Genomic DNA, 25789 nt, shown 5'->3' on the forward strand with positions numbered 1-25789 from the left:
TCCGGGTGCACTGGGATGACATTAAAAGAGAGTCAAAGAAAAAGTTGTCAGGCACAAATTCTATATCCAGCAAACTATCCTTAAAAAAAAAAAAGAATCAAGGCAAAACCAGACATTCCCAGATAAAGATTAAGGACATTAAGATCGTATAAAGCAGTAGTTCCAACCATTATTATTATTATCATTATTATTATTATTATTATTATTACTATTATTGGAGATGGTATATTGCTCTGTCACCCAGGCTGGAGTATACTGGCATGATCTCAGCTCACTGCAACCTCTGCCTCCCAGGTTCAAGTGATTCTCCTGCCTCAGCAACTTGAATAGATGCAATTACAGGCATGCACCACCACGCACAACTAATTTTTGTATTTTGGGTAGAGATGGGGTTTCCTCATGTTGGCCAGGCTTGTTTCAAACTCCTGGCCTCAAGTGATCTGCCTACCTCAGCCTCCTAAATTGCTGGGATTACAGGTGAGTCACTGCGCCCAGCCAGTAGTTCCAATTATTTAAAGCAAAAGAAGGTAGGAAAGGAGGAACAGCAGAATCTCTTTAGGTATGAGGAAAAAAAAATAGCAAAAGACAGGTATAAATTCAAATATATCAATAATATTAAGTATAAATGAACTGAACACTCCACCAAAATGGCAGAGATTGTGAAACGGGATAAAAAAGCAAGATCCAGGCCGGGCGCGGTGGCTCACACCTGTAATCCTAACACTTTGGGAGGACGAGGCGGGTGGATCACGAGGTCAGGAGATCGAGACCATCCTGGCGAACATGGTGAAACCCTGTCTCTACTAAAAATACAAAACAAAAAATAAGCCGGGCGTGGTGGCGGGCGCCTGTAGTCCCAGCTACTCAGGAGGCTGAGGCAGGAGAATGGCTTAAACCCGGGAGGCGGAGCTTGCAGTGAGCCGAGATCACGCCACTGCACTCTAGCCTGGGCGACAGAGCAAAACTCCATCTCAAAAAACAACAACAAAACAAACAAAAAAGGCAAGACCCGGCCAGGCGCGGTGACTTACGCCTGTAATCCCAGCACTTTGGGAGGCCGAGGAGGGTGGATCACGAGGTCAGGAAATCGAGACCATCTTGACTAACAGTGAAACCCTGTCTCTACTAAAAATACAAAAAATTAGCTGGGCGTGGTGGCCGGCGCCTGTAGCCAGTCCCAGCTACTCGGGAGGCTGAGGCAGGAGAATGGCGTGAACCCGGGAGGCGGAGCTTGCAGTGAGGCGAGATGGCGCCACTGCACTCCAGCCTGGGAAACAGAGCCAGACTCGTCTTAAAAAAAAAAAAAAAAAAAAATCAAGATCTGATAAAGGACTTGCATTCAGAATATATCTTTTTTAACTTGTAAGAACAAGACAACCCAATTAAAAGAAGTAAAAGATCTGAATAGACACTTCTCCAAAGAAGATATACAAATGGCCAATAAGCACCGGAAGATGCTCAGCATCTTATGTCACTAGAGAAATGATCTAACTTGGATGAGATTAATTTGGATATGAGTGGTCCACTAGAATGGCCATAATTATAAAGGCAGACTATAAGCACTGCAAAAGATGTGGAGAAACTATAACCCTCCTACATTGCTAGTTAGAACATAAAATTATAGTCACTTTGAAAATAGTTCATAAGTTTCTTAAAAAATTAATCCAAACACTTGCATGACAATGTTTTGGGTGATGGAAATGTTCTAAAATCTAATTGTGGTGATGATTACACACACAACATCTTTCAACTCTACATTTAAAATGAATTTTATCATATGTAAATTATACCTCAACAAATATGTAAAAAAATTTAAGACAGATAAGACTTTATCAATATTTTATACGTGTATGTATGTACATACAGAGAGGGAGACAGAACAGGTTTGGGGCAATAAAAAACGGGCAGAATGATAACAACTGGTAAATCTGGATGCAGGGTATATGAGACATCCATGTATTATGCTGGCAACATTTCTGCCAGTTTGAAATTACATTAAGATTTAAGATTATCAACCAAAAGGTCAAGAATATAATGTAACAAGCTTCCTGTAACAATATCTATCTTTTTTCAATGAAGACCATATACAGCTTAAATTATTAGGAAATTGTAGATAATTTTAATGAAGTCAACGTCAAGAATATAATCTGGTTGTAATACCAATACAATGTGTTCTAAAATAATTTTTCTATTGAGTTAAATATTCATCTGTAGATCCTATAACAGCATGTTCATATTCACAAAATCTGAATGAAAAGTAAACACAACTTGGCATTTCTGACGCAGGGTAACACAAAGTTCACTTCGGAGGGGACTGAGATTTTTGTTTAATTTTGCTTTTGAAACCAAGCACAGTTATAGTCAAAATGAGGGACATTATTCAGAATGAGGTTATGTATTTATTTAACAAAATACTGCTTCTCTGAAGTACATTTCATTAGGGAGAGTGACAGTAATGCTAAAAAAAAGAACATGAAAATGCACACAGCATTTCTGAAAGGTTATAATAATTTATTTAATTTTTTTTTGAGACAGAGTCTCACTCTGTCACCCAGGCTGGAGTGCAGTGGCTCCTGTGATCTTGGCTCACTGCAACCTCCACCTCCTGGGTTCAAGCAATTCTCGTGCCTCAGCCTCTCAAGTAGCTGGGATTCCAGGCATGCACCCCACACCTGGCTATTTTTTTTTGTATTTAAATTTATTTTAATTTTTTTTTGAGGCAGAGTCTTGCTCTGTTGCCCAGGCTGGAGTGCAGTGGCATGATCTCAGCTCACTGCAACCTCCATCTCCCAGGCTCAAGCAATTCTCCTGCCTTGGCCCCCAGAGTAGCTGGGATTATAAGCACCTGCCACCATGCCCAGGTAATTTTTGCATGTTTAGTAGAGATGGGGTTTCACCATGTTGGCCAGGCTGGTCTCAAACTCTTGACCTCAGGTGATTTGCCCGCCTTGGCCTCTGAAAAGTGCTGGGATTACAGGCGTGAGCAACCGCGCCCAGCCCTATTTTTTTGTATTTTAGTAGAGACAGCGTTTCACCACGTTGGCCAGGCTGGTCTCGAACTCCTGGCCTCAAGCAATCCACCCGCCTCAGCCTCCAAAAGTGCTGGGATTACAGATGTGAGCCATGGCACCATGCCAAAAGGCTATATTCCTGGCTCTGTGTTTCCGAGACTGCTTTTAATCCCAACTTCTCTACATTTAGATTAAAAAATATTTTATTCATGGTCAATCTGGAACATAATTACTGCATCTTAAGTTTCCACTGATGTATATAGAAGGCTAAAGGCACAATTTTTATCAAATCTAGTAGAGTAACCAAACATAAAATCATTAATTACTTTCAACTTAATAACTAATTGACATTCCTCAAAAGAGCTGTTTTCAATCCTGATAGTTCTTTATTTTTTCAAAATATATTTGCCATGGGATGCTAATTTGCAATAGGTGTCATAATGAGAATAACCCAAACTGGATAAATGTGACAAATGATTGACAAAGCATTTCACACCCTTCAATTACACCACATCAAGAATGAGGGGAAAGCGTTGTAAAAGTAGACTACTGCAATGCTACTTGTATTCTTGCAATAAAACCAGCAAGCATCCATATCAAGAGAGTTATCATCTCACTTCCAACTTTTTCCCCTCAAGAACAATTTGAATCTCTTTGGCATCCAAAGTCTCATAGGTCAATAAAGCTTCTGCGAGATTCTTATGCTCCTTTGCATGAGTTTTCAAGATATGTTTTGCTCGTTCATATGAGTCCTGAAACAGAAAAGGAGATACGTAAGCAGCAGCAAATGCAGGGATGCGAAAACCAGTCAATGGGAAGAGAAAGAAAAACTTTATGTACCCTAAAAAATATGAAATCTGTTTATATTTATAAAATCATGTAGAATCTTGATTCTACAGTAGAGATAATTTGTGCATTATAACATAGTAAGGAAAAGAGAATAAACACCTGAGAAGGCAGAGACCACCTCTTCTATAACACTCTCTAAACCTTTCCATCATACAAACTTTCTGTATCCTTAACTACTCTAAAGCATTCCCTCTACTTCCTTGAAATAATCAAACCCATGGTCCCTCCTGTGGAGAATGCATTCCCTAAGCCCTCTCAAGTGCTATTTGTTCATGTTTACCCTAGTTACTTCACAGTAAACAGCTGAGCTCATTGTTCCCATTACCTCTTTCAGACCATTACTAACCTACCCTCTTATATAATGCACTCTTCCTATTCTGTTGAAGTCCAGGCCATTTGACTATGGAGCTATCCAACCGTCTTCATTGTGCCATCTGACAAACATAGTCCTTACTCACTAAAGACTTTGGCACTCAGCTCTGTCACTCTCTCTCTCTCTATTTTTTTTTCAGTCTCACTGTTGCTTAGGCTGGAGTGAAGTCAGGCAATCACAACTCACTACGGCCTCAACCTCCCTGGGCTCAGGTGATCCTCCCACCTCAGCCCAAGTAGCTGGGACTACAGGCATGAACCACCATGCCCAGCTAATTTTTCTATGTTTTGTAGAGATGAGGTTTTGCCATGTTGCCCAGGCTGGTCAGTCTTACCCTTAAAACCTGCCTGGCTGGGTGCGGTGGCTCACACCTGTAATCCCAGCACTTTGGGAGGCCAAGGCAGGTGGATCGTTTGAGCCCAGGAGTTCGACACCAGCCTGGGTAACATAGTGAAATGCTCTCTACAAAAAATAACAAAATTAGCTAGGCATGGCAGCATGCGCTTATAGTCCCAGCTACTCAGGAGGCTGAGGTGGGAGGATCACTTGAGCTTGGGAGACAGAGGTTGCAATGAGCCAAGATCACAGCACTGCACTCCAGCCTGGGTGACAGGGCAAGATGCTGTCTCAAAAAAAAAAAAAAAAAAAAAAAAAAAAAAAAAAAAAAAAAAAAGACCTGCCTTCATGAATGGGTAGCTTCAACATTCAAATGCAATACATAACCAATCTCTCCACTAAGTTCCCACATCTATTTCCAACTAAGATGCCTCAAATTCAACATACATAATACTGAAATTGGGCCGGGCGCAGTGGCTCATGCCTGTAATCCCAGCACTTTGGGAGGCCGAGGTGGGTGGATCGCCTGAGGTCAAGAGTTTGAGATCAGCCTGGCCAACATAGTGAAACCCTGTCTCTACTAAAAATACAAAAAATTAGCCAGGCATGGTGGCACGCGCCTGTAATCCCAGCTACTCAGAAGGCTGAGGCAGGAGAATCACTTGAACCCAGAAGGCGGAAGTTGCAATGAGCCGAGATAGCACTACTGCACTCCAGCCTGGGCAACAAGAGCAGAACTCTGTCTCAAAAAAAAAAAAAAAAGAAAAAACAAAAACAAAAAACTGAAATCATAGAGCTAGGCATAGTGGTGTGTGCCTGTAGCCCCAGCTACTTGGGAGGTTGACTTGAGCCCAGGAGTTCAAGTCCAGCCTGGGCAATATAGCAAGACCCATCCCCTTAAAAAAAAAATGACAAAACCCACAAAAAACCAACAATAAAACACCTACTAAACTTATTTCTTAGGTTGCAGTGAGCCGAGATCATGCCACTACACTCTAGCCTGGGCAGCAGAATGAGACTCCATAAAAAAAAAAAAAAAAATTTATTTGTTGAATACATGTCAAAGACTCAATAAACAATACTCTTCCCATTCTATTACCTCTTACAGTTTTGCAGCTAAAGTACAATTGAATTTTATATACATATAAAATTTTATATATAGATTTTATTTCAACAGCTTATGGGGTACAAGTGGTTTTGGTTACATGGATGAATTGTATAGTGGTAAAGTCTGGGATTTTAGTGTATCCATACCTACATAGTGTACACTGTACCTAATACCTAATATGTAGTTATTTTGTCCCTCACCCTGAGAATTGAATTTTTACAACCATGCAATATAGAACTGTTCTTAGCCCGTGTCCAGGTTCATGAACAGAGAGGTGCCTTAATAACATTTAAATCATTGCTGAAATGCTGCAACTATTATCTTTATTTTTTAATTTTTTCCCCAGACACCATGGTGACTATTATCTTTATTTTATAAAATGATGTTTCTAGTGAACAGAGGGCCTTCAGCTGTTATTTTTTAAGAACCTGACTATTTAAGCACATTGTTCCTAAGAAAATAAATAAGCACAAAAAATATTATTACCCTTAGAAGGATTCTTATTTCTTGTTCGATGGCAGATTGGGTTTCTGGACTTAGTTTCCCTGTATCACTGTAGGTCATAACTCCAAGCTAAAACCAAAAGGAAGAAAGTAATTGAACAGAAAACCCCCAAACACCAACAAATTTGAAAGAGAAAGTACTATCCTATATATAAGGAAACAAATATATGGGGGACAAGAAAGAAGTACAATAGAAAACTGCATTTGAGGCCGGGCACAGTGGCTCACACCTGTAATCCTAGGATTTTGGGAGGCCGAGGCGGGTGGATCACCTGAGGTTAGGAGTTCGAGACCAGCCTGGAAACACGGAGAAACGCCATTTCTTCTAAAAACACAAAAAATAGCTGGGCATAGCGGCACGTGCCTGTAATCACAGCTACTCAGGAGGCTGAGGCAGGAGAATCGCTTGAACCCAGGAGGCGGTGGTTGCAGTAAGCTGACATTGCGCCACTGCACTCCAGCCTAGGTGACAGAGCGAGACTCCGTCTCCAAAAAAAATAAAAATAAAAACTGCATTTGAGGGCAAAGAAATTTCCACATTCTTCTGAAAGTATAAAGACTAACATTTAGCCAGGCATGGTGGCAGGTGACTGTAATCCCAGCTACTTGGGAGGCTGAGGCAGGAGAATCGCTTGAACCCGGGAGGCGGTAGCTGCAGTGAGCCAACATCACGCCACTGCACTACAGCCTGGGCAACAGAGCAAGACTCCGTCTCAAAAACAAAGAAACAAAAAAACACTAATATCAAAATAGTAAAAGTATGAGCAAGACAGAACATTTAAAATCTTTTTTTTTTTTTTTGGAGACAGGGTCTTGCTCTGTCACCCAGGGTAGAGTGCAGTGGACTCACTGTAGCCTCGACCTCCTGGGTTCAGAGAATCCTCCCACCTCAGACTCCCAAGTAGCTGGGATTACAGGCACACACCACCATACCTGGCTAATTTTTGTATTTTTTTAGAGATGGGGTTGTGCCATGTTGCCCAGGCTGGTCCAGAACTCACTCCTGGGCTCAAGCAATACAGTCTCCTCAGCCTCCCAAAGTGCTGGGATTACAGATGTGAGCCACAGTGCCCAGCCTAAAATCATTTTAAGTCTGGTTCTCAGTACTTTCTTGAAAAACCTTGGCAGCTACTTCAAATATAGAAATCCATAATTCACAGAGTATAGTAGTGCTTCAAGGAACAATGACAAGATGAAAATATGAAATAGAGGGAAACAGTAAAGTAACCAAACTTAGAAAGTAGACTCTTTCATGCCACATGGAAAAGCTAAGGAATTCACCTTGCTTTATCACTTAATTAACTCGTGAAGTAATAGTTACTATCTGGGCAGCTCATTCTCAGCAGCTAAGAGAAGGTCCATTTTCTTTATTCAGAGAATAACAATGTTCAGAATAAAGAGCCTCAAATCCATTTGGAGTGAGAGAAAAAGTGAATATTACCAATTTATAATCAGAACCAGCTCTCAAATCAACACTTGACACATAATTTGATACATGAAAAGGATTTAAAAAATCTATTACCTTTTCACTCATTCCAAATTTGGTAACCATCCGCTTTGCTATTTTAGTGGCATTATCAAAATCACTGGAAGCACCTAAAATAAAATAAAAACATACCATTTTAAAACATATCTTTAAGACCACATATAATTTGAACTAAAGCCATTCTTTAAAGCTAACCTGTTGTAATATGGTCGGTTCCAAATATAAGCTCCTCTGCCACTCTTCCTCCCATACTAACATCCATTTGTGCAAGCAGCTGGGCTCTAGTTTCATTCCATCTGTCATTCTCAGGTAACAGGGACACCTAGACAATTAAAAATTAATCAGATAAAAAATAAGCAAAGAGGCTGGGTGCGGTGGCTCACGCCTGAATCCCAGCACTTTGGCAGGCGAGGTGGGTGGATCACCTGAGGTTGGGAGTTCGAGACCAGCCTGACCAACATGGAGAAATCCTGTCTCTACTAAAAATACAAAATTAGGCAGGCATGGTGGTGCATGGCTATAATCCCAACTACTTGGGAGGCTAAGGCAGAAGACTCACTTGAAGCCAGGAGACAGAGGTTGCAGTGAGCTGAGATCATGCCATTGCACTCTAGCCTGGGCAACAAGAGTGAAACTCCATCTCAAAAATAAAATACAATAAATAAAATAAAACCAAATTAAATTAAAATAAAATAAAATGTAATGAAAGAAATTCAGATACAGGCTGGGTGCAGTGGCTCATACCTGTAGTCTCAGCACTTTGGGAGGCTGAGGTGTGAGGATCACTTGAGCCCAGGAGTTTGAGAGTAGACTGGGCAACATCGCGAGACTCCATCAATATAAAATAAAATAAAAATTTAAAAAAAATTCAGATACAGTTCTGATATAGTTACATTAAAAACCAGAATTTCAGCACCGTAAGACTGGGCAAAATAAAAAAATACAAACCAGAATTATCATTTAGCTCTCACTAAAGTACTTTATACCATGTTGCTGAAAGCTGGTCATCAGGGGACTGATGAAAAACCAGCAATTAGAGAATAAAAACATCCTTTATAAAGCAACAACAATAGGTGGATAATGCTGCAATAGGACTGTTTTCTCCCCAGGTGCATAGAAATTTTTTAAATGTCTACAATGTTGAAAGATCTGATAAACTTGTACTAAATGATAAAAATCTTAGAGAAACTACTGAATCAGTTACTACAAAACATAATGTTTTCCCTTTTGGGGCAGCGGAGTAATTAGATATTTAAGAATTAGGCAGGGCATGGTGGCTCACGCCTGTAATCCCAGCACTTTGGGAGACTGAGGCAGGTGGATCACCTGAGGTCAGGAGTTCTAGAGCAGCCTGGCCAACATGGTGAAACCCCATCTCTACTAAAATTACAAAAATTAGCTGGGCGTGGTGGTGGGCACCTGTAATCCCAGTTACTTGGGAGGCTGAGGTGAAAGAATCGTTTGAATCCGGAAGGCAGAGGTTGCAGTGAGCTGAGATCGCGCCATTGCACTCCAGCCTGGGTGACAGGGCGAGACACTACAAAAAACTTACATGTCCAAGTGTTGGCCCCCGTGGCATGATTGTAGCTTTGTTGATAGGCATTGCATCTTTTGTGTAATATGCAATAATGGCATGACCAGATTCATGATATGCTGTGATGGTTTTGTTTTTGTTATCAATTTCCACACTTCTTCTTTCAGGCCCTAAGATAAATTTAATTGAGTAAATACTCCATTAGAAAGGTATATTTAAATCAACAAAACACATTCTTGTCTGCAAATCAAATACACTCCACCCTTCCTATCAGCAGATTCTGCATCCATAGATTCAACCAAATAAGGATTAAAACTATGGGGAAGAGGAACAATAAAAAATAATACAAATGAAAAAAATACATTATAACAACTATTTACAGAGCATTTATATTGTATTAGTAATCTAGAGATGATTTGAAGTATACAGGAGAATTATGTAGGTATATGCAAATAGTACACCATTTTATAAAAGACACTTGAGCATCCCTGAATTTTGGTATCCACATGGGTCCTGGAACCAATCCCCACCCCTTCAGTGGATACTGAGAGGTGAATGTATCTGATATGGGATTAATATTATAAAACAAAAAACTCATTCTCCTTAAAGTCATTCTTATTATAGCTCACTCCAACCTTGAACTCTTAGCCTCAAGCAATCCACCCACCTCAGCTTCCCAAAGTGCTGGGATTACAGGCATGTGCCACTGCACCTAGCTTTAGTAATTTTTAGTAATTTTGTTTCTTTTTAAACAGGGTCTGTAACCCAGGCTGGAATACAGTGGCATGATCATGGCTCACTGTAGCTTTAACTTCTTGGACTTAAGTAATCCTCCCACCTAGGACTCCCAAGTAGATGGGACCACAGTCGCATGCCACCCCACCCAACTAATTTTTAAAATTTTTGGTAGAGATGGAGTCTTGCTATGTTGCCCAGCTGATCTTGAACTCCAACGATTCTGGGCTCAAGCAGTCCTCCTGCCTTGGCCTCCCAAAGTGCTGGGATTACAGGTGTGAGCCACCACGCCCAGTCTACAAAGTTTTTTAAAATGGGCAGAATTCATTCCTAACACATACAAACTTTAACAATTTAACTGAAAACCAAAACTGTCAAAACTATCATCTTAATTCAAAAGGGAAAACTTATTTCTATTTCTATAAAATAAACTTCCAGTTTAACAAGAATATCATAATTAATGTGATTTTAAGCCAATCCAAGATTTAAAATCGAAATTAAGCACAGAATAAAGTATCCTTTTTCGCAGCAATGTCTGACAAGAGGAAATGTATACGTGCCTCATCTCCCCACTACCAGTTTAACTATATAATTACATAAGCAACTAGAATATATTTGTTTCGTAAGATGCCAAATTGTGGTGTTGTCAAGTATATATTTTCATGTTCCCATCACTTTTTAAAGCTTTCCAGTCAGAAAAAAAGGTTTTCTAAGAAAGAGACAAAACTAATAAATGTGGTACACTATAAAATCAGTTCTGTATCACTGACAAGATTATTGTCAAGAAAATGTTACAGTTTAATGGCATTTGTTTGATGTTAAGTTGGGAATTTTGTAAAATCATTTATTACAAATCTTGAAAACCCAGACACTGAAGTTTTAGAGTAAGATTAGATTCAACATAGCCATGGCTTTAGCTGTTTGAATAGAGTATTTGCCCCTAAATGAATTATCTAACACAATGAAAAGTAAAAGACAGAAAAAAAAGAAAGGAAACCTACCCATTAGAATTTTGTCTTTGGAAAACTCCAGCTCCTTCATGGTAACCATTTCTTTTCCATCAACAGCTGCTTTTAATGCAGCCTGGTTCACAAGATTCTCCAACTCTGCTCCGGAAAAGCCAACAGTACCTCGAGCTATAATTTCTGGATCAACGGCTAATGTAAAAAGAGAACACAACGCTAATAAGTCTAAAACAGGTAAAAGAAAGCTCTTCACAAAGAACTCACATTCCAACTGGGTGCGTTGGCTCATGCCTGTAATCCCAGCACTTTGGGAGGCTGGGGCAGGCAGATCACCTAAGGACAGGAGTTGGAGACCATCCTGGCCAACATGGTGAAACCCCATCTCTACTAAAAATACAAAAATTAGCTGGGCATGGTGGCATGCACCTGTAATCCCAGCTATTCAGAAGGCTGAGGCAGAAGAATCACTTGAACCCGGGAGGTGGAGGTTGCAGTAAGCCAAGATTGTGCCACTCCACTCCAGCCTAGGCAAAAAGGGCAAAACTCTTGTCTCAAAAAAAAACCAAAAAAAAAAAACACCTCACATTCCAAGGGAAAAAAGAAAATAGCTAGCTATTCTGAGCCATAGTTTAGTCACTTTTTCTCTGAATTTCATCTGGAAATACTTTAGACATAAAAGCTGCCCTTATAGGAAACATGTATAGTTTAATGAATTGATACAGCTATCTCTGAAACTACTGCAGCTTTAATAATTTCATTTATTACTCAAGTGAGTAATAAATTTCCATGTGTTTTGTTTTATAATTTGCTTTCTTCTCTTTTGGCCCCACACTGACTATATCATGAGTTACTGTTTCTGCAGCTTTTTTAAATTATTTTGCATTTTACATTCATCTTAAAAAAATGTGTGTGTGTGTATGTATATGTATGTATCCTCAAATATTATCTGTCTGAATACTCTAAAAAAACCTTTCTTTAGACTCAGGGTTCAAAACAATAGAATCTCCTGGATATACACTAAGGAATGGACTTTTAAACGAACATACTAATGGAAAAAAAAAAGACAAAAATGAACTGGTCTTTTAATGTTAATACATGTATCATGAAAGGACCACAAACAGGGTGAGTGGTATATTACCACTTTACAGAAATGACAAATGTTTGTTTTGATACTTACATTGATCAAACTTTATTTTATTGAGATACCATTTCAAAATTTCTGTTCGACCTTTTACATCTGGCCTTGGAACTGTAACTTGCATGTCAAAACGACCAGGACGTATTAAGGCACTACAGGAAGAATGCAAAAGGAAAATATAAATTAAAACTATTTAAGCTCAAATTCAACAGGACTGACACCCTAATGACGTGACTGGGAAGCCAATGGCAGCCAGAGCGCAGATGGAGTTTTGTACATAAATATTCAGATAGTTCCTTTAAAACATGGCTCAAGTAACAGTGTCAATAACCAGAAAGCAGAACAAAGGTTCATTTAGATACACGTGTGTACCTAGGTAGCCTACCCCTCAGAAACAAAAGCATGCAGGTAATTCAGTCCAGGAACAAATAATTCCACAACAAACTATTATGAGAACCACACATCCATCTCAACTGCTAAGTACAGAATGTTAGACTAGAGTCTTAGGCAGTGACAAACTACTGATCAAATGAAAATACGAATAACTTCTACAGTAAAATTTTTTCATAGTAACTTTAAACCTAGTTATAATACTACAGTTAATTTATTTTAAAAACCCTCTCTACATACAACTTTTGTGACATATAACAAATAAATATTTTAAGTTTTATTGAGATGTAATTCACATAATTTAAAGTGGATACTTCAGTGGTTTTTAATACATTCAGAATTGTACAACCATCACCACAATCTAATTTTAGAATATTCCCATCCCCCACAAAGAAATCCCATATCCAATGACAGCCATTCCCCATTCTCCCTAACCTCTGGTAACCGCTAACCCAATTTGTCTCTGTGAATTTGCTTATTCTGGATATTGCATATAAATGGAATCATACAGTGTTGATGTGATCTTTTGCAACGGACTTCTTTTAGCACAATTTTGTAGCATGTAACAGTACTTCACAAAAATCTTCTTTTAATACTTACTTATCTAATGCCTCTGGGAAGTTTGTGGCTCCTATTATGATAACTCCTTCATTGGGTTTAAAACTATATTGGAAAAAAAATAGTATCTTTTACTAACACTGAAGCACAGCACACATGTAGAAATGCTCTACACAAAACTGGTTTGTTTTCTTTTTTTGAGACTAGGACTCGCTTTGTGGCCTAGGCTGAAGCGCACCAGTATGATCATAGCTCACTGCTGCCTCAAACTCCTGGGTTGAAGTGAACCTTCTGCCTCAACCTCTCAAGTAGCTGGAATGACAGGTGCATGCCAACATATCTGACTAATTTATTTTTTATTTATTTTTAAATCTTTTCTCCCCAATTTCTAGGTACAAGCCACTATTTTTTTTTTTTTTTGGAGATGGAGTCTCACTGTCACCCAGGTTGGAGTTCAATGGTGCTCACTGCAACCTCCATCTCCCAGGTTCAAGCAATTCTCATGTCTCAGCTTCCTGAGTAGCCAGGATTACAGGCGCCTGCCACCACACCCAGCTAATTCTTATATTTTTAGTAAAGACGGGGTTTCACCATGTTGGCCAGGTTGGTCTTGAACTCCTGACCTCAAGCAATACACCCGCCTCAGCCTCCCAAAGTGCTAGGATTATAGGCTTGAGCTACTGTGCCCGGTGACTGTTTTTATTTTTAGTAGAGATAGGGTCTTGCTATCTTGACCAGGCTGGTTTTGAACTCCTGGCCTCAAGCAATCCTCCCACCTTGGCTTCCAAAAGTCCTGGCATTACAGGCGTGAGCCACCATGCCCAGCTTCATTAATCAAATAACAGCCAAGAAAAGAAACTGATAATAAACCACCAATTCATCTCTGACTACATACCTTCACAATTATCTGGTCTATGCAGGAAAAGATAACCTGATATAAAAAGCTTAGGTGCCTGGTTAATTTTTGAAAAATTACTTTCAAGTATACCAATTCAAATTATTTGCTCCTGGGCTTCCTATGTGGTTTCAAAATGTCTTATATTGAGTTTTAAGATACTTCTTTCAAAGCAACATCACCTCTTGCTTCTTATATTATGAACATTGATGTAAGCTTTAAATCTGCCACAACACTCAAAGTTAGTCATAAATTATGTAGAAACAACTGTATTTCTTCAAATAGACTACTAGTCTCGGCATAAATCATTGTTTTTCTGTCATAAGTGTAACAATAAATGAGAAAGGATATAAATACCATAAATTAAATAAGATGAGTTGATATTCAAATATCCAGTTAGTAATGAAAACAATACAATACTGAGAGAAAAAGCTTGTCTTGAGTTCTTGCATGAGGGACTACTCTGTTTCCTATACACATCACATTTTTCATATCTCTAGATATGAAATGCCTTATGGAAATAATTTGCATAAGATCAATTCTACGTATATCAAATGCTGGGAGGCATCACCATATTCTAAGAAAAAAGAAGACTCAATTACCCATCCATTTCAGCAAGAAGTTGATTTATGGTCTGCCTTGAATATGGATGCATTGGAGATTCAATTCTCTTCCCACCAACAGAATCTAATTCATCAATAAATATAACACAAGGAGCATTCGCCTTTGCTTCCCCTAAGAAAACAAAAAACATTCAAATAAGCTGAAAGAAAGTCAACACTTTTGAACAAAACGAGATAAATATTAAAATCCTATACAACTGTCAAAAGCCAACAAAAAATATTCACTGAAAGAAAAGGACGTCATTTTTTACTGACTTAAAAATAGTATCTTCAGGGGGGAAAAAACTATACCAAAGAAATGATATAAAACAAAACAGTTGGGCATTCATTCATTCTTTCCAGCTATACAAATATATACAATCAGGTTTGAAGCTAATTACTCCTTAATTCCATACTACAAAATTGATGAATAAAATGAAAAAACACTAAGAGATTTTTGGTAGCCTCCAACTTCATCTTGCACTTCCACTAGCTCTTCCGATAATTCATATAGTAAGTTACCCAAACCAAGGTCCCACAATGGCTATTTTAACTATCAATCAAAACTAATTAGCATGCAAAGCTGGAGGCCCCAAAAAATAGAAATTAAAAAAAGGAAGAAAAAAAGTAATTAGCAAAGAAAGGGTAAGATACACACTTCCCTTAACAAAATTTAGCACTGCATCAAAGATACACCAAAACGTACTAAAAAGATTTCTGATACGGCTGGCTCCCACACCCACAAACATCTCATCAAATTCGGATCCAGAAGCATAATAAAAAGGAACATCAGCTTCTCCCGCCACAGCTCGGGCAAGAAGTGTCTTTCCAGTCCCTGGGGGTCCAACTAAAAGAATTCCTAAAAGAAAATGAAAACGAGAATGATTCAAAGTATTTTTAAAAAATCCCTCGATATGAACCTATAAAATAAATAATTATTCATTTATATAATTTTCAGGCTGAGGTCACACCAATAACCAATATTTTGAAACACAGCAAACCGTACTTGTCTCTGCTAATGGTTCACTTCAGAATCTTGTCCAAAATTAATGTTCCTGTATTATATAAATATTGTTTCCATATCAACAAGAGACATGACAGGGAGAATCTTGAGGCAAAAAAATATAAACCCATTTATCACTAAATAAGATAAAATTCATGTAAAAATAGATTAAAAGACTAAACAACCAAATGTAATTAGTGAATCCTGATTTGATGCTTTTTCATAAAGAACAAAAAATTCTAGAGACATCTGGTGAAAACATTTAAACAAGACTGAGAGTACATGATATTAAGGAAATAGGCATAATTTCCTTTGGTGGGATAAGGTTATTATGTTTATTTAGGACACTGTCCTTATTCTTAGGTGATGTACAAGAAAGTCTTTAGATGTCAAGTAGTTGACGTTTATAGTTTTCTTTCAAATGTTCAGGGGGAAAAATACACACATAACACAGAAAGCAAATATGACAGAATGTTAACAATTGTTGAGTCTAAGTGGATAGGATATGGATGTTAATTGTACTGTTCTTTCAAGGTTTTCCATGTTTGCAAATTTTCATAACACCAAAGATTTTCACGTTAGAAAAACAGAATTACCTGATTTATATGTTTTTATAAATATACATATTACATTTAAAAAGCAACAAAACTTCTTTACATACATGTTTGCTGCATTTTAACATAAAAAAAATTTTAAAGAAAGCTCAAGCTCAAAAATAGCTTTAAGACTATCCTAGTATTGTCATGTTTTAGTTATACTTAACTGGTTTAAATCATATTAATTTCTGTGGATTACATCTTGGTATCTGAAGATTTTTCTACAAATTTATACTACTCAAATTTTCTACAAATTTAAAATACTCCTTGTGATTAGAAAGAGGAAGAGTGTAACTATTAATACTTCTATGGTTTTAAACATTCACTCTGTGATGTTTAAATAAATGTAAAGGTGGTATGTGGAATGTCTCCTGATATGGGCTTTTCCAGTGTTTTCTCATGATTGTATTGAGATTGTGCTCTTTTTTAATTCCTTTTTGCGTGGACACCACATAAGCCATCACTTGGGTCCTTTCTAGAGCATCAGGAAGTACATGATGTTGATAAGGCTTTTGCCAGTGATATTAGCTAAAGTTATCATTATTAAGCACTGATTTAATAAATGTACCCTAAATTAGCAAAGGTTACTGCAAATAATTTCATACACTGCTGTATTTTCAGTGGAGATAGTTGGCAGCATAAAAACAAGCATTAAAAAGGAGTGTCATCCTTTAACTCAGCAATTCCATTTCTAGAAATTTATTCTAAAGAAATAATTAAGCATGCAGGCAAAGCCTTGAATTAAGATGAAACACAGCACTATTCTTAATAGCAAAAAAACTGGAAACCATATAAAAATTCAATATAAATGGTTAAATTGTGATACAACCATAAATTAGAAGGATACTGTGAAGTCATTAAAAGTCATGTTAACCATGAGAAAACATCAGACAAAGCTAAACTGAGAACATTCTATAAATAATTAGGCAAGTACTCTTTGCAACTGTAAAAATCATGAAAGATCCTCTTCTCTCCACTCCCTCACAAAAGGCTAAGGAATTGTTTCATTGTTTCATTTGAAAAAAAAAAAAAAAAAAACAATAAAAGCCTAAATGTTACCTGTGATCCTGGATTAGGTCCTGAACTGGGGAAGTGGGTAGGGATCAGGGCAACACTACAAAGGATACTATTGGAGCAAATGCTGAAATTTGAATATAGACTCTAAATTTGATAATGGTTTTGTATGTATGTTAAATGTCCTATTTTTTTTTTTTTTTTGAGACAGAATCTTGCTTTGTCACCCAGACTGGAGTGCAGTGGGAACAATCTCGGCTCACTGCAACCTCTGCCTCCTAGGTTCAAACGATTCTCCTGCCTCAGCCTCCTGAGTAGCTGGGATTACAGGCGCCTGCCACCAAGCCCAGCTAATTTCTTTTTTTAGTAGAGACAGGGTTTCACCATGTTGGCCAGGCTGGTTGGAACTCCAATGGCCCCTGGTTCAAGACCAGACTGGTCTCGAACTCCTGATCTCAAGTAATCCACCCGCCTCCACCTCCTAAACTGCTGGGATTAAAGGCGTGAGCCACCACACCCAGTAATGTCCTAATTTTAATATTATTCTGGAGTTACATAGAAGAATATCCTTATTCTTAGGAAATACACACTTGGGGTGATTGTTTACAATTTACTCTCAAATAGTTAAAAATTTATTTATTTACAAATAATTTTTATATTTATATATACATAAAGAGACAAAGTGAATGATTTTTAAAATGGAGTTAGGTTGAGTGCGCTGGCTCATGCCTGCAGTCCTAGTACTTTAGGAGGCCAAAGTGAGTGGATCGCTTGAGCCCAGGAGTTCAAGAGCAGCCTGGGCAACATGGAGTAACCTCATCTCTACAAAAAATACAAAAATTAGCCGGCATGGTGGTGTGTACCTGTGGTCTCAGCTACTTGGGAGGGCCGCCTGAACTCGGGAGGTTGTGGCTACAGCGAGCCATGATTGCATCACTGCACTCAAGCCTGGGTCTAAAAAGGAAACTAAATATTAAAAATTTGTGAGTCTAGGTAAAGGGTATGAGGAGCATTCTATGTACTATTCTTGTAACTTTAAATTTGAAAGTATATAAAAACTTGCAGTTACCAAAAAAAAAAGGCTATGGAATTGTATGTTCAGAATGAACATCTATTTTGTAAAATAGCAATTAAGACTTAAACTTTAATCAGTTAAAATTAAATAAGTAATATAGGTTTTTTTTGTTTGTTTCTTTGTTTTTGTTTTTTCCATCAAATCATGATAAAGAAAAGATATCTTACCTTTTGGAAGTTTACCTCCAAGAATAGTAAATTTTTGTGGATTTTTCAAGAATTCAACAACTTCCTGTAATTCTTGTTTAGCTTCCTCCACCTAAAGTGACACAATTTTCCAAATAACTTTAGATAATGGACACGTTTGGTTAGATTATCAAGGCTTCCCTTTTGAAAATCATAAATTTAATTTGGATATGGAATTAACCTGACCTTCTCTGTTTCAGTAAAAAAAGCATACAAAAATGGCCCCTTATAAAACAAAGGGTTTTCCCCTGACCATTATTTCCCATTATGCAAAGTCTCCTTACTATCCCCAAAAAAATCATTCTGAACTTTCATTTTCTCAGTGAGAAAACAAAAGTCAAGTACATTGGACAGGGTTAAAAAGAAAGTACCTAGAGAGGAGCATTCTAAAACATGAAACATAGCTTCACGCCAAAGGGCATTCTGAAAATGTCCAATTAATGTCAAGATTCGCTTATTATTTCAAGAAAAATTCCCAGGCATATTTCCAGGAAATATTACACTTATTAAAGAACAAAGTTATGTTTTTTTGTTAGACTTGAAATGATCTTTGAAAGTTATTCTGATTAAATAATTAAAAATGTAATAATGTTTTAATCAAGTTAATGGTTAAAAACATAGCATTTTCTTTTCAGAGTATTTAAAAAAATACAAAACAAAGCTTTGTCCATTCCTAGGTCCAGGAGAAGCGTGTACATATGTTCACCAAGAGACTTGTATAAAAATAGTCACACCAGCTGTATTTGAACCAAAAACTAGAAATAAATGTCCACCCTAAAGTAGTGTAATTGCACCGTGTTGTAGTATTCTTATAATGGGATACTATGCAATAAAGGATAAATAAACCTCAACTCCAAGTAACATAGATGGATCTCACAAACATGTTGAATAAAAGAAGCCTCATACAAAAGAGGATATTCTATATGGATTACATTTATCTAAAATTCAAAAATAGGGAAAATTCATGTATGGTATTAGACAGGAAATTGTCCCTAGGTTAGTAACCAGAAGGAGGCATCAAGGAGGTTCTGGGCTTCTGCTAAGGTTCTATTTCTTGAGCTGGGTACTTATAACACAGACAGTTTGTGAAAATTTATGGATTTGTGCACTGTTGTGTGAATTTGTTAAACTTCAATGAAATTTATGGTTAAAAAAAGACTTGGCTGGTTTATTAAAAGAGAACTTGAAAGATAATATCCATGTACTAAAAGAAGACTAAAATATATTTGGTCAAAATAATAGATATAATTCCAATTTTAAGCTGTAGGAATAAAGAAGAGATTAAACATAATTTAATACTCAAATAAACTATATTCTCTCTCCAAATTCTGTGGCAAGAGAATCCCCACTTGAGGAACATAAGATCTATCAAGGAAAATAGTTAATGGGATCAAGGTAATGAATCAAGTTATTAAATGCCCTTATTAATATTTTTAAGGCTATATATATAAGTGTGCCCATATATTCAGAAATTCTAGGCAAGGAAATGACATTCCTATACAAGCTCTTTGAGATTTGGTAAACATTTGTCACAGGAACTACCTAATGGCAAACCTGTTCTGGTAAATGCTACTGAATTACTTTGCTCTATATAAATTTAGGTCTTACAGCAATTATAAAATTGATTCATTTTAGCATGGAAAACTTGGTAAGGATCTACCTTAATTGTGATGTCTACTTTCACTATGCTTAGTTATCAGCATGGCTTTAGTTTAGTACTCAGAAATCCCCACATTCCAGGACAGGCGTGGTGGCTCATGCCTGTTACCCCCAGCACTTTGTGAGGCTGAGATGGGAGGACTGCCTGAGCTCAGGAGTTTGAGACCAGCCTGGACAACAAAGTGAAACTCTGTCTCTACACCGCTCCCCCACCCCCCAAAAAAAAGAAGAAGAAAAAGAAAGATAAATCAGCTGGGCTTGGTGGCTGATGCCTATAATCCCAGCACTTTGGGAGGCAAAGATGGGTGGATCACTTGAGCTCAGGAGATCAAGACCAGCCTGGGCAACGCAGCTAAATCCCGACTCTACAAAAAAAAACTACAAAAATTAGCCAGGCATAGGGGCACACGCCTGTAGTCCTAGCTACCTGAGAGGCTGAGGCGGGAGGATGGCTGGAGCCCAGGAGGAGGAGGTTGTTGTGAGCTAAGATCACACTACTGCACTTCAGTCTGGGTGATAGAGCCAGACCCTGTCTAGAAAGAATAATAAAATTAAATTAAAAAATTAGCCAAGTGTGGTGGTGCATGCCTGTGGTCTCAGCTACAAGGGAGGTTAAGGCAGGAGTATCACTTGAGCCCAGAAGGTCAAAGCTGCAGTGAGCCATGATCATGCCACTGCACTCCAGCCTGGGCAAGAGAGCAAGACCCTGTCTCAAAAAAAAAAAAAAAAAAAAAAAAAAAACTCTCATTCCAAAAGAAGTGTGATATATTCAGTAAGTATGTAAGTACATTACAGACAGAGAATAACAATGCTGTGTCTGACCTCAGCCTTAATACAGGCTCAATTTAGAAAAGGCATGCAGACCTCAAACACAATGAGAAGGGCCCTCCACGCTGATGACTGAAGTTTTCAAATAATCACTGCACCAACCTCTTCCTCAATTGTTCCCTTTATACAATTCCAACAGGGTTCATAGCCATTTAAACTGGAAAGGAAAGGAAAGAACTACTTGGTTGTAAAACTATCATAATGATTCCCAATGCCTTATTCCCCAATAGTCAAGGCTGAAAAAACATGGTTATGTATAAACAGAGACACGAATAAGTAAAGAAGAAAAGCAGAAATAATAACATAACCAATCTCTTCAGAGTTGGAAGAGTCCTCAGATCACGTACTTCAAATCCCTCCTGCGGAAGAATTTCTTCTAAAACACTCCTGAAAGATAATTACCCAGCCACTACAGTTCTGAGAAATCAAATGTAATAGAGCAGATATAATGGCAAAGCACAGAGAAGAGCACAGTGTGGTACTAAAGTTGCAGAATTCACATTTGGAAAAGATAAAATAAAAAAAAAAAATCAGTAGAAAAACCACTCATTTTGACTTAATATAAATTCATGATCCAAAATTTCAAGTGAGCACAACAGTTTTATTTCCTGTTTCCATTCATTCTCCTATTGCTACACAATTTACTTCCTCCATTAACCACTCATTCCTCCTCTCCCAGCCATATTCTCTCTGCTGGTGACCTTGATTCTATCAATTTCCACAACCCCCCACCTAACAGTTTACCAACATTCCAACTTTATTTTGTATTATGAGATACATTATCTGTGCTCTTCTGTCAGACAAAATCCAAGAATTGTTTGCAATCCTCTATTCCATCTCATTTCTTTCCACCTCTTGTAAACCCACTGCAATTGGAATTTAACCCCTGCTACTCCACTAACATTGCTCTTTATCAGGTACACCAATGACCTACTGCTAAATCAAATGGTTAGTTCTCACTTGGCCCATCAATAGCATTTCACATTGCTGATCACTCCCCTCATCATAGAAATATTTTCTTCCAGGATACCATTGTCACCTAACTCACTGGCAGCTCCTTCTCATCTTGGTTCCTGGCTTCTCTTCTCTGTCTTGTGAACCTTCAAGTAAGTGCTCTGTAACTCGGTATTTAAATCTCTCTTCTGGTTACACTCACTCCCTGGGTGATCTCATCCAAACATGTGGACTTAACATACATATAAATATAATCTCCTATTTTTAATTCTAGCTCAGACCTCTCCCATACCTCCAAAGTGGTATATCCAAGTTACTCAACACTTTCATTCGTATCTCTCACACTTAACATACCTAAAACTAAATTTCTAACCTTTGTCCCCCAGATCTGCTCCACTCACAGCCTTTTAAAACCTCACTAAAGGCCGGGCACCGTGGCTCACGCCTGTAATCCCAGCACTTTGATCTGCGTGGATCACCTGAGGTCAGGAGTTCAAGACCAGCCTGGCTAACATGGTAAAACCCTGTTTCTACTAAAAACACAAAAAATTAGCTGGGCGTGGTGGCTCGTGCCTGTAATCCCAGCTACTCTGGAGGCTGAGGCAGGAGAATCGCTTGAATCTGGGAGGTGGAGGTTGCACTGAGCCGAGATCACGCCATTGCACGCCAGCTTGGGCAACAATAGCGAAACTCCGTCTCAAAAACAAAAACAAAAATCTCAGTAAATGTCAATTCTATCCTTCTAATTGCTGAGACCAAAAATCTTGTGGCTCTTTTTGACTCCTCTTTTCTCTTACACCCTACGTTCCAATAAGAAATCCTATTAGTTCTACTTTCAAAAATGAACAAGTCAGACACCCTATTACTTGAGAGCCTTTGCTCAAACTGTTCCTTTGGTCAGAAACGTTCCTTTCTCAGATAAATGCAGTTTATTCCATCTTCTCCTTCAGATTTTATCTCAAATGTCACCTTCTCCATCAATCACACCTTGAACACTCCATTTAAAACTGTAAGCCTTCTCTCAAAACTCCCAATCCTCTTTACCCTGCTCTACTTTTTCCTCCATACACTTTTATTCTTTTAACATACTCTACTTTTTCTTACATCACATATCAGTGTCCAATTACTGCTTTTAGAGTTTAAACTCTAAGAATGCAGAGATTATTTATTCTATCCCAGCAGCTAAAATAGGGCCTAGCACTTAATACTATTAAATATTTAACAAATTAATCAACTATAAACTAGCATTTATCCATTCTATTCATTCAAGAAATATACATTGTCTAACATGTTTTAGATAGTGGAGTTACAAAGATCAGTAAGAGGTACAGGTAAAGAAGGACCATTTATTAAATATCTACTATGTGTCAAGCACATACATTATCTGTCAGGATCTAAAGTAATTTCTTCAAGGTCTCATAGCTAATAAGTATAAAAATGAATTTCAAACATTAGTCAGCTTGACTCTGAAGTCCACATTCACTCCACTACACCAGGCTGCTCCTTCATAAATTATACTATCCCCTGCCATAAAGCAAGATTTGATCCTTGGCTATTATTATTTATCCCAAAATACTAATGTTTCTAATACTTTTGGACACAATTTTACCTATTCTAGAATACACTGTAGAATCAAATATCGACCTCATATAGAGTATCAATTAGAGGATGTATGAAGAAGGCAAGGCAATCTTCTTAACTTACCCCTTTAACATGTTCAAAGGTGACATTTTTCATCTGGACAGGATCTACTGCAGAATCAAGCCCTGTTGTTGTCCGGAAGCGGACTAAAGGGAAGAAAAGAAATGTTTATATTTGATAGATTAATAACATTCCAATCACCTTGTTTTTTAGATGCAAGAAAGCAAAGCCTAGAAAAATTAAATGTCTAAGTGACCTAACTTCACATATCAAATCAGAGTGAGGAATAGAAACTAGGTCTTCTGGATTTCTTTTTTTTTCTTTTTGACAGAGTCTTGCTCTGTTACCAGGCTGGAGTGCAGCGGCACGATCTTGGCTCACTGCAACCTCAACCTCCCAGGTTCAAGCGATTCTCCTGCCTCAGCCTCCCAAGTAGCTGGGATTACAGGCATGCGCCACCAAACCCGGCTAATTTTGTATTTTTAGCAGAGACAGGGTTTTCCATGTTGGTCAGGCTGGTCTTGAACTCCTGACCTCAGGTGATCCACCCGCCTCAGCCTCCCAAAGTGCTGGGATTACAGGCGTGAGCCACTACGCCCGGCTGGTCTTCTGGATTTCTAAACCATCTTCAAAGAGTAAGTGATTCACGTTAAAAAGACATATTTCGGCTGCTCTGCCTATGGAGTAGCCATTCTTTTATTCCTTTACTTTCTTAATAAACTTGAAAAAATAAAAAATAATAAAGACTGGGCGTGGTGGCTCACACCTGTAATCCCAGCACTTTGGGAGGCTGAGGCGGGCAGATCGCAAGGTGAGGAGATCGAGACCATCTTGGCTAACGGTGAAACGCCGTCTCTACTAAAAACACAAAAAATTAGCTGGGCATGGTGGCGCAAGCCTGTAGTCCCAGCTACTCGGGAGGCTGAGGCAGTGAAATTGCTTGAACCCCAGGAGGAGGAGGTTGCAGCGAGCCAAGATTGCCCCACTGCACTCCAGCCTGGGCAACAGAGCGAGACTCCATCTCAAAAAAAATAAATGAAATAAAATAAAAAAATAAAATAAAATGACCTATTTGTACTTTTCAGTTAATAAAATCAAAAATTATTTTCTACTTCTTATTGTAGTATCTAATGATAGAAATCTTAAATCAAAGTTTCTCAAACTTTGGTGTGAATAAAACTCACTTGAGAAGTATGTTAATTCTCAGGCCACAGCACAGGGCCCAGGAGAATTTTCATTTTTAACAAACACTTCAATTATTCTAATTGGTCACAGGTCTACACTTTGAAACACATTGCCTTAAAGTTAGCAGAAAACATTGACACACATTAATAAAAAATTGAGGCTTAACACATTATTATACTTTTCATGTAGTCTTCTTCCTCTGACAACTGTTATTACTTGCCCTCAAATGACCTATCAATTATGACAACATTAAGTCTGACAAGCAAGACAGAAAAAGTCTGATAGGAGAGTAAAATATTTGAGATCAATTTTGGAGAACTATTACAAGGATTTCTTAAGTCTTTCCCACTCAGGTAGAAACTTCCAAACTAGAGCAGTTATAAATGAGTAAATTGAGCAATTTCTAATTTCCTCAGAAGAAGCCCAAAATACTGTTAAGATAGGCTGAAAAATGAGCTGGCAAAATATGGGGTTAAGGAGAAATGCTTAATAAATCAGGAACATAGAAGCTGGGAAAACAAATTTAAAATAGTAATTCTAGAATGAACACCAATAGTTTTGGCCCACAAAGTATTTTTTAAGAATCTGTACATATCCTTAATATTTAAGAGAATAGGCAACACAGGGTGAAAACTGCACAGTAGTGGAAAAGGTAATTGGAACCACGTAAGTCTGACACTATTGCTTAATTTCAGATAAGCAAACTAAAAAAAAGGGAAACATTTAATGTGATTTTATGAATAAACTGAATTTGTTTATCTTTGAAATAGAAGACTATTTCAGCTTGTATTGCCATTATAAAATTCTTCTACATAATTTTAAAATTAATTAATTAATTTTCCTTTCACCCTGTTGACCAGGATAATTTTTAAATTTTATAATTGGACAGGTATCATTTTCTAAAAATCTGGGAAACTAACCACTACTAGGAATGAAAGCCTAATTCTAGTACTGTAAACATTAATATGTTCTTTCTTTAAGGGTTAGATTAGGCATTAAAAGGAATCATGTATTTAAAGGAATAAGAAATAAGTTAGACAAATAAAAAAAGCTTTTACCAGATAAAAATGGGTTTTTTAGAAGTCCATAAATGCCGAATAGCAGCAGAACGAAGAGAATCAGACGGGTTCGCCTTAGGGAATCTAGGAGAGAAAGAAAAAGCTTTA

The 25789-nt window shown here is 37.7% G+C and overlaps 1 protein-coding gene across 4 annotated transcripts in view; it reads right to left on the minus strand.

Annotated features, from left to right (window-relative positions):
- YME1L1 (YME1 like 1 ATPase) overlaps window positions 1754-25789 on the minus strand; it is a 44274-nt gene continuing 20238 nt past the window's right edge. For all 4 annotated transcript variants that reach the window (NM_001253866.2, NM_014263.4, XM_011519300.4 and 1 more), the window contains 13 exons: window positions 25682-25765; window positions 23502-23584; window positions 18339-18429; window positions 15190-15342; window positions 14484-14616; window positions 13029-13091; window positions 12078-12190; window positions 10937-11092; window positions 9219-9370; window positions 7862-7988; window positions 7703-7776; window positions 6164-6250; window positions 1754-3763 (listed from right to left, as the gene is read on the minus strand). In NM_001253866.2, coding sequence (NP_001240795.1) covers window positions 3620-3763; window positions 6164-6250; window positions 7703-7776; window positions 7862-7988; window positions 9219-9370; window positions 10937-11092; window positions 12078-12190; window positions 13029-13091; window positions 14484-14616; window positions 15190-15342; window positions 18339-18429; window positions 23502-23584; window positions 25682-25765 — 1460 coding nt within the window. In that variant the 3' untranslated portion in view covers window positions 1754-3619. The remainder of the gene's footprint in view (window positions 3764-6163; window positions 6251-7702; window positions 7777-7861; window positions 7989-9218; window positions 9371-10936; window positions 11093-12077; window positions 12191-13028; window positions 13092-14483; window positions 14617-15189; window positions 15343-18338; window positions 18430-23501; window positions 23585-25681; window positions 25766-25789) is intronic.

The sequence above is a fragment of the Homo sapiens genome, chromosome 10, assembly GCF_000001405.40.
Source record: "Homo sapiens chromosome 10, GRCh38.p14 Primary Assembly".
NCBI classification, from domain to species: Eukaryota; Metazoa; Chordata; class Mammalia; order Primates; family Hominidae; genus Homo; species Homo sapiens.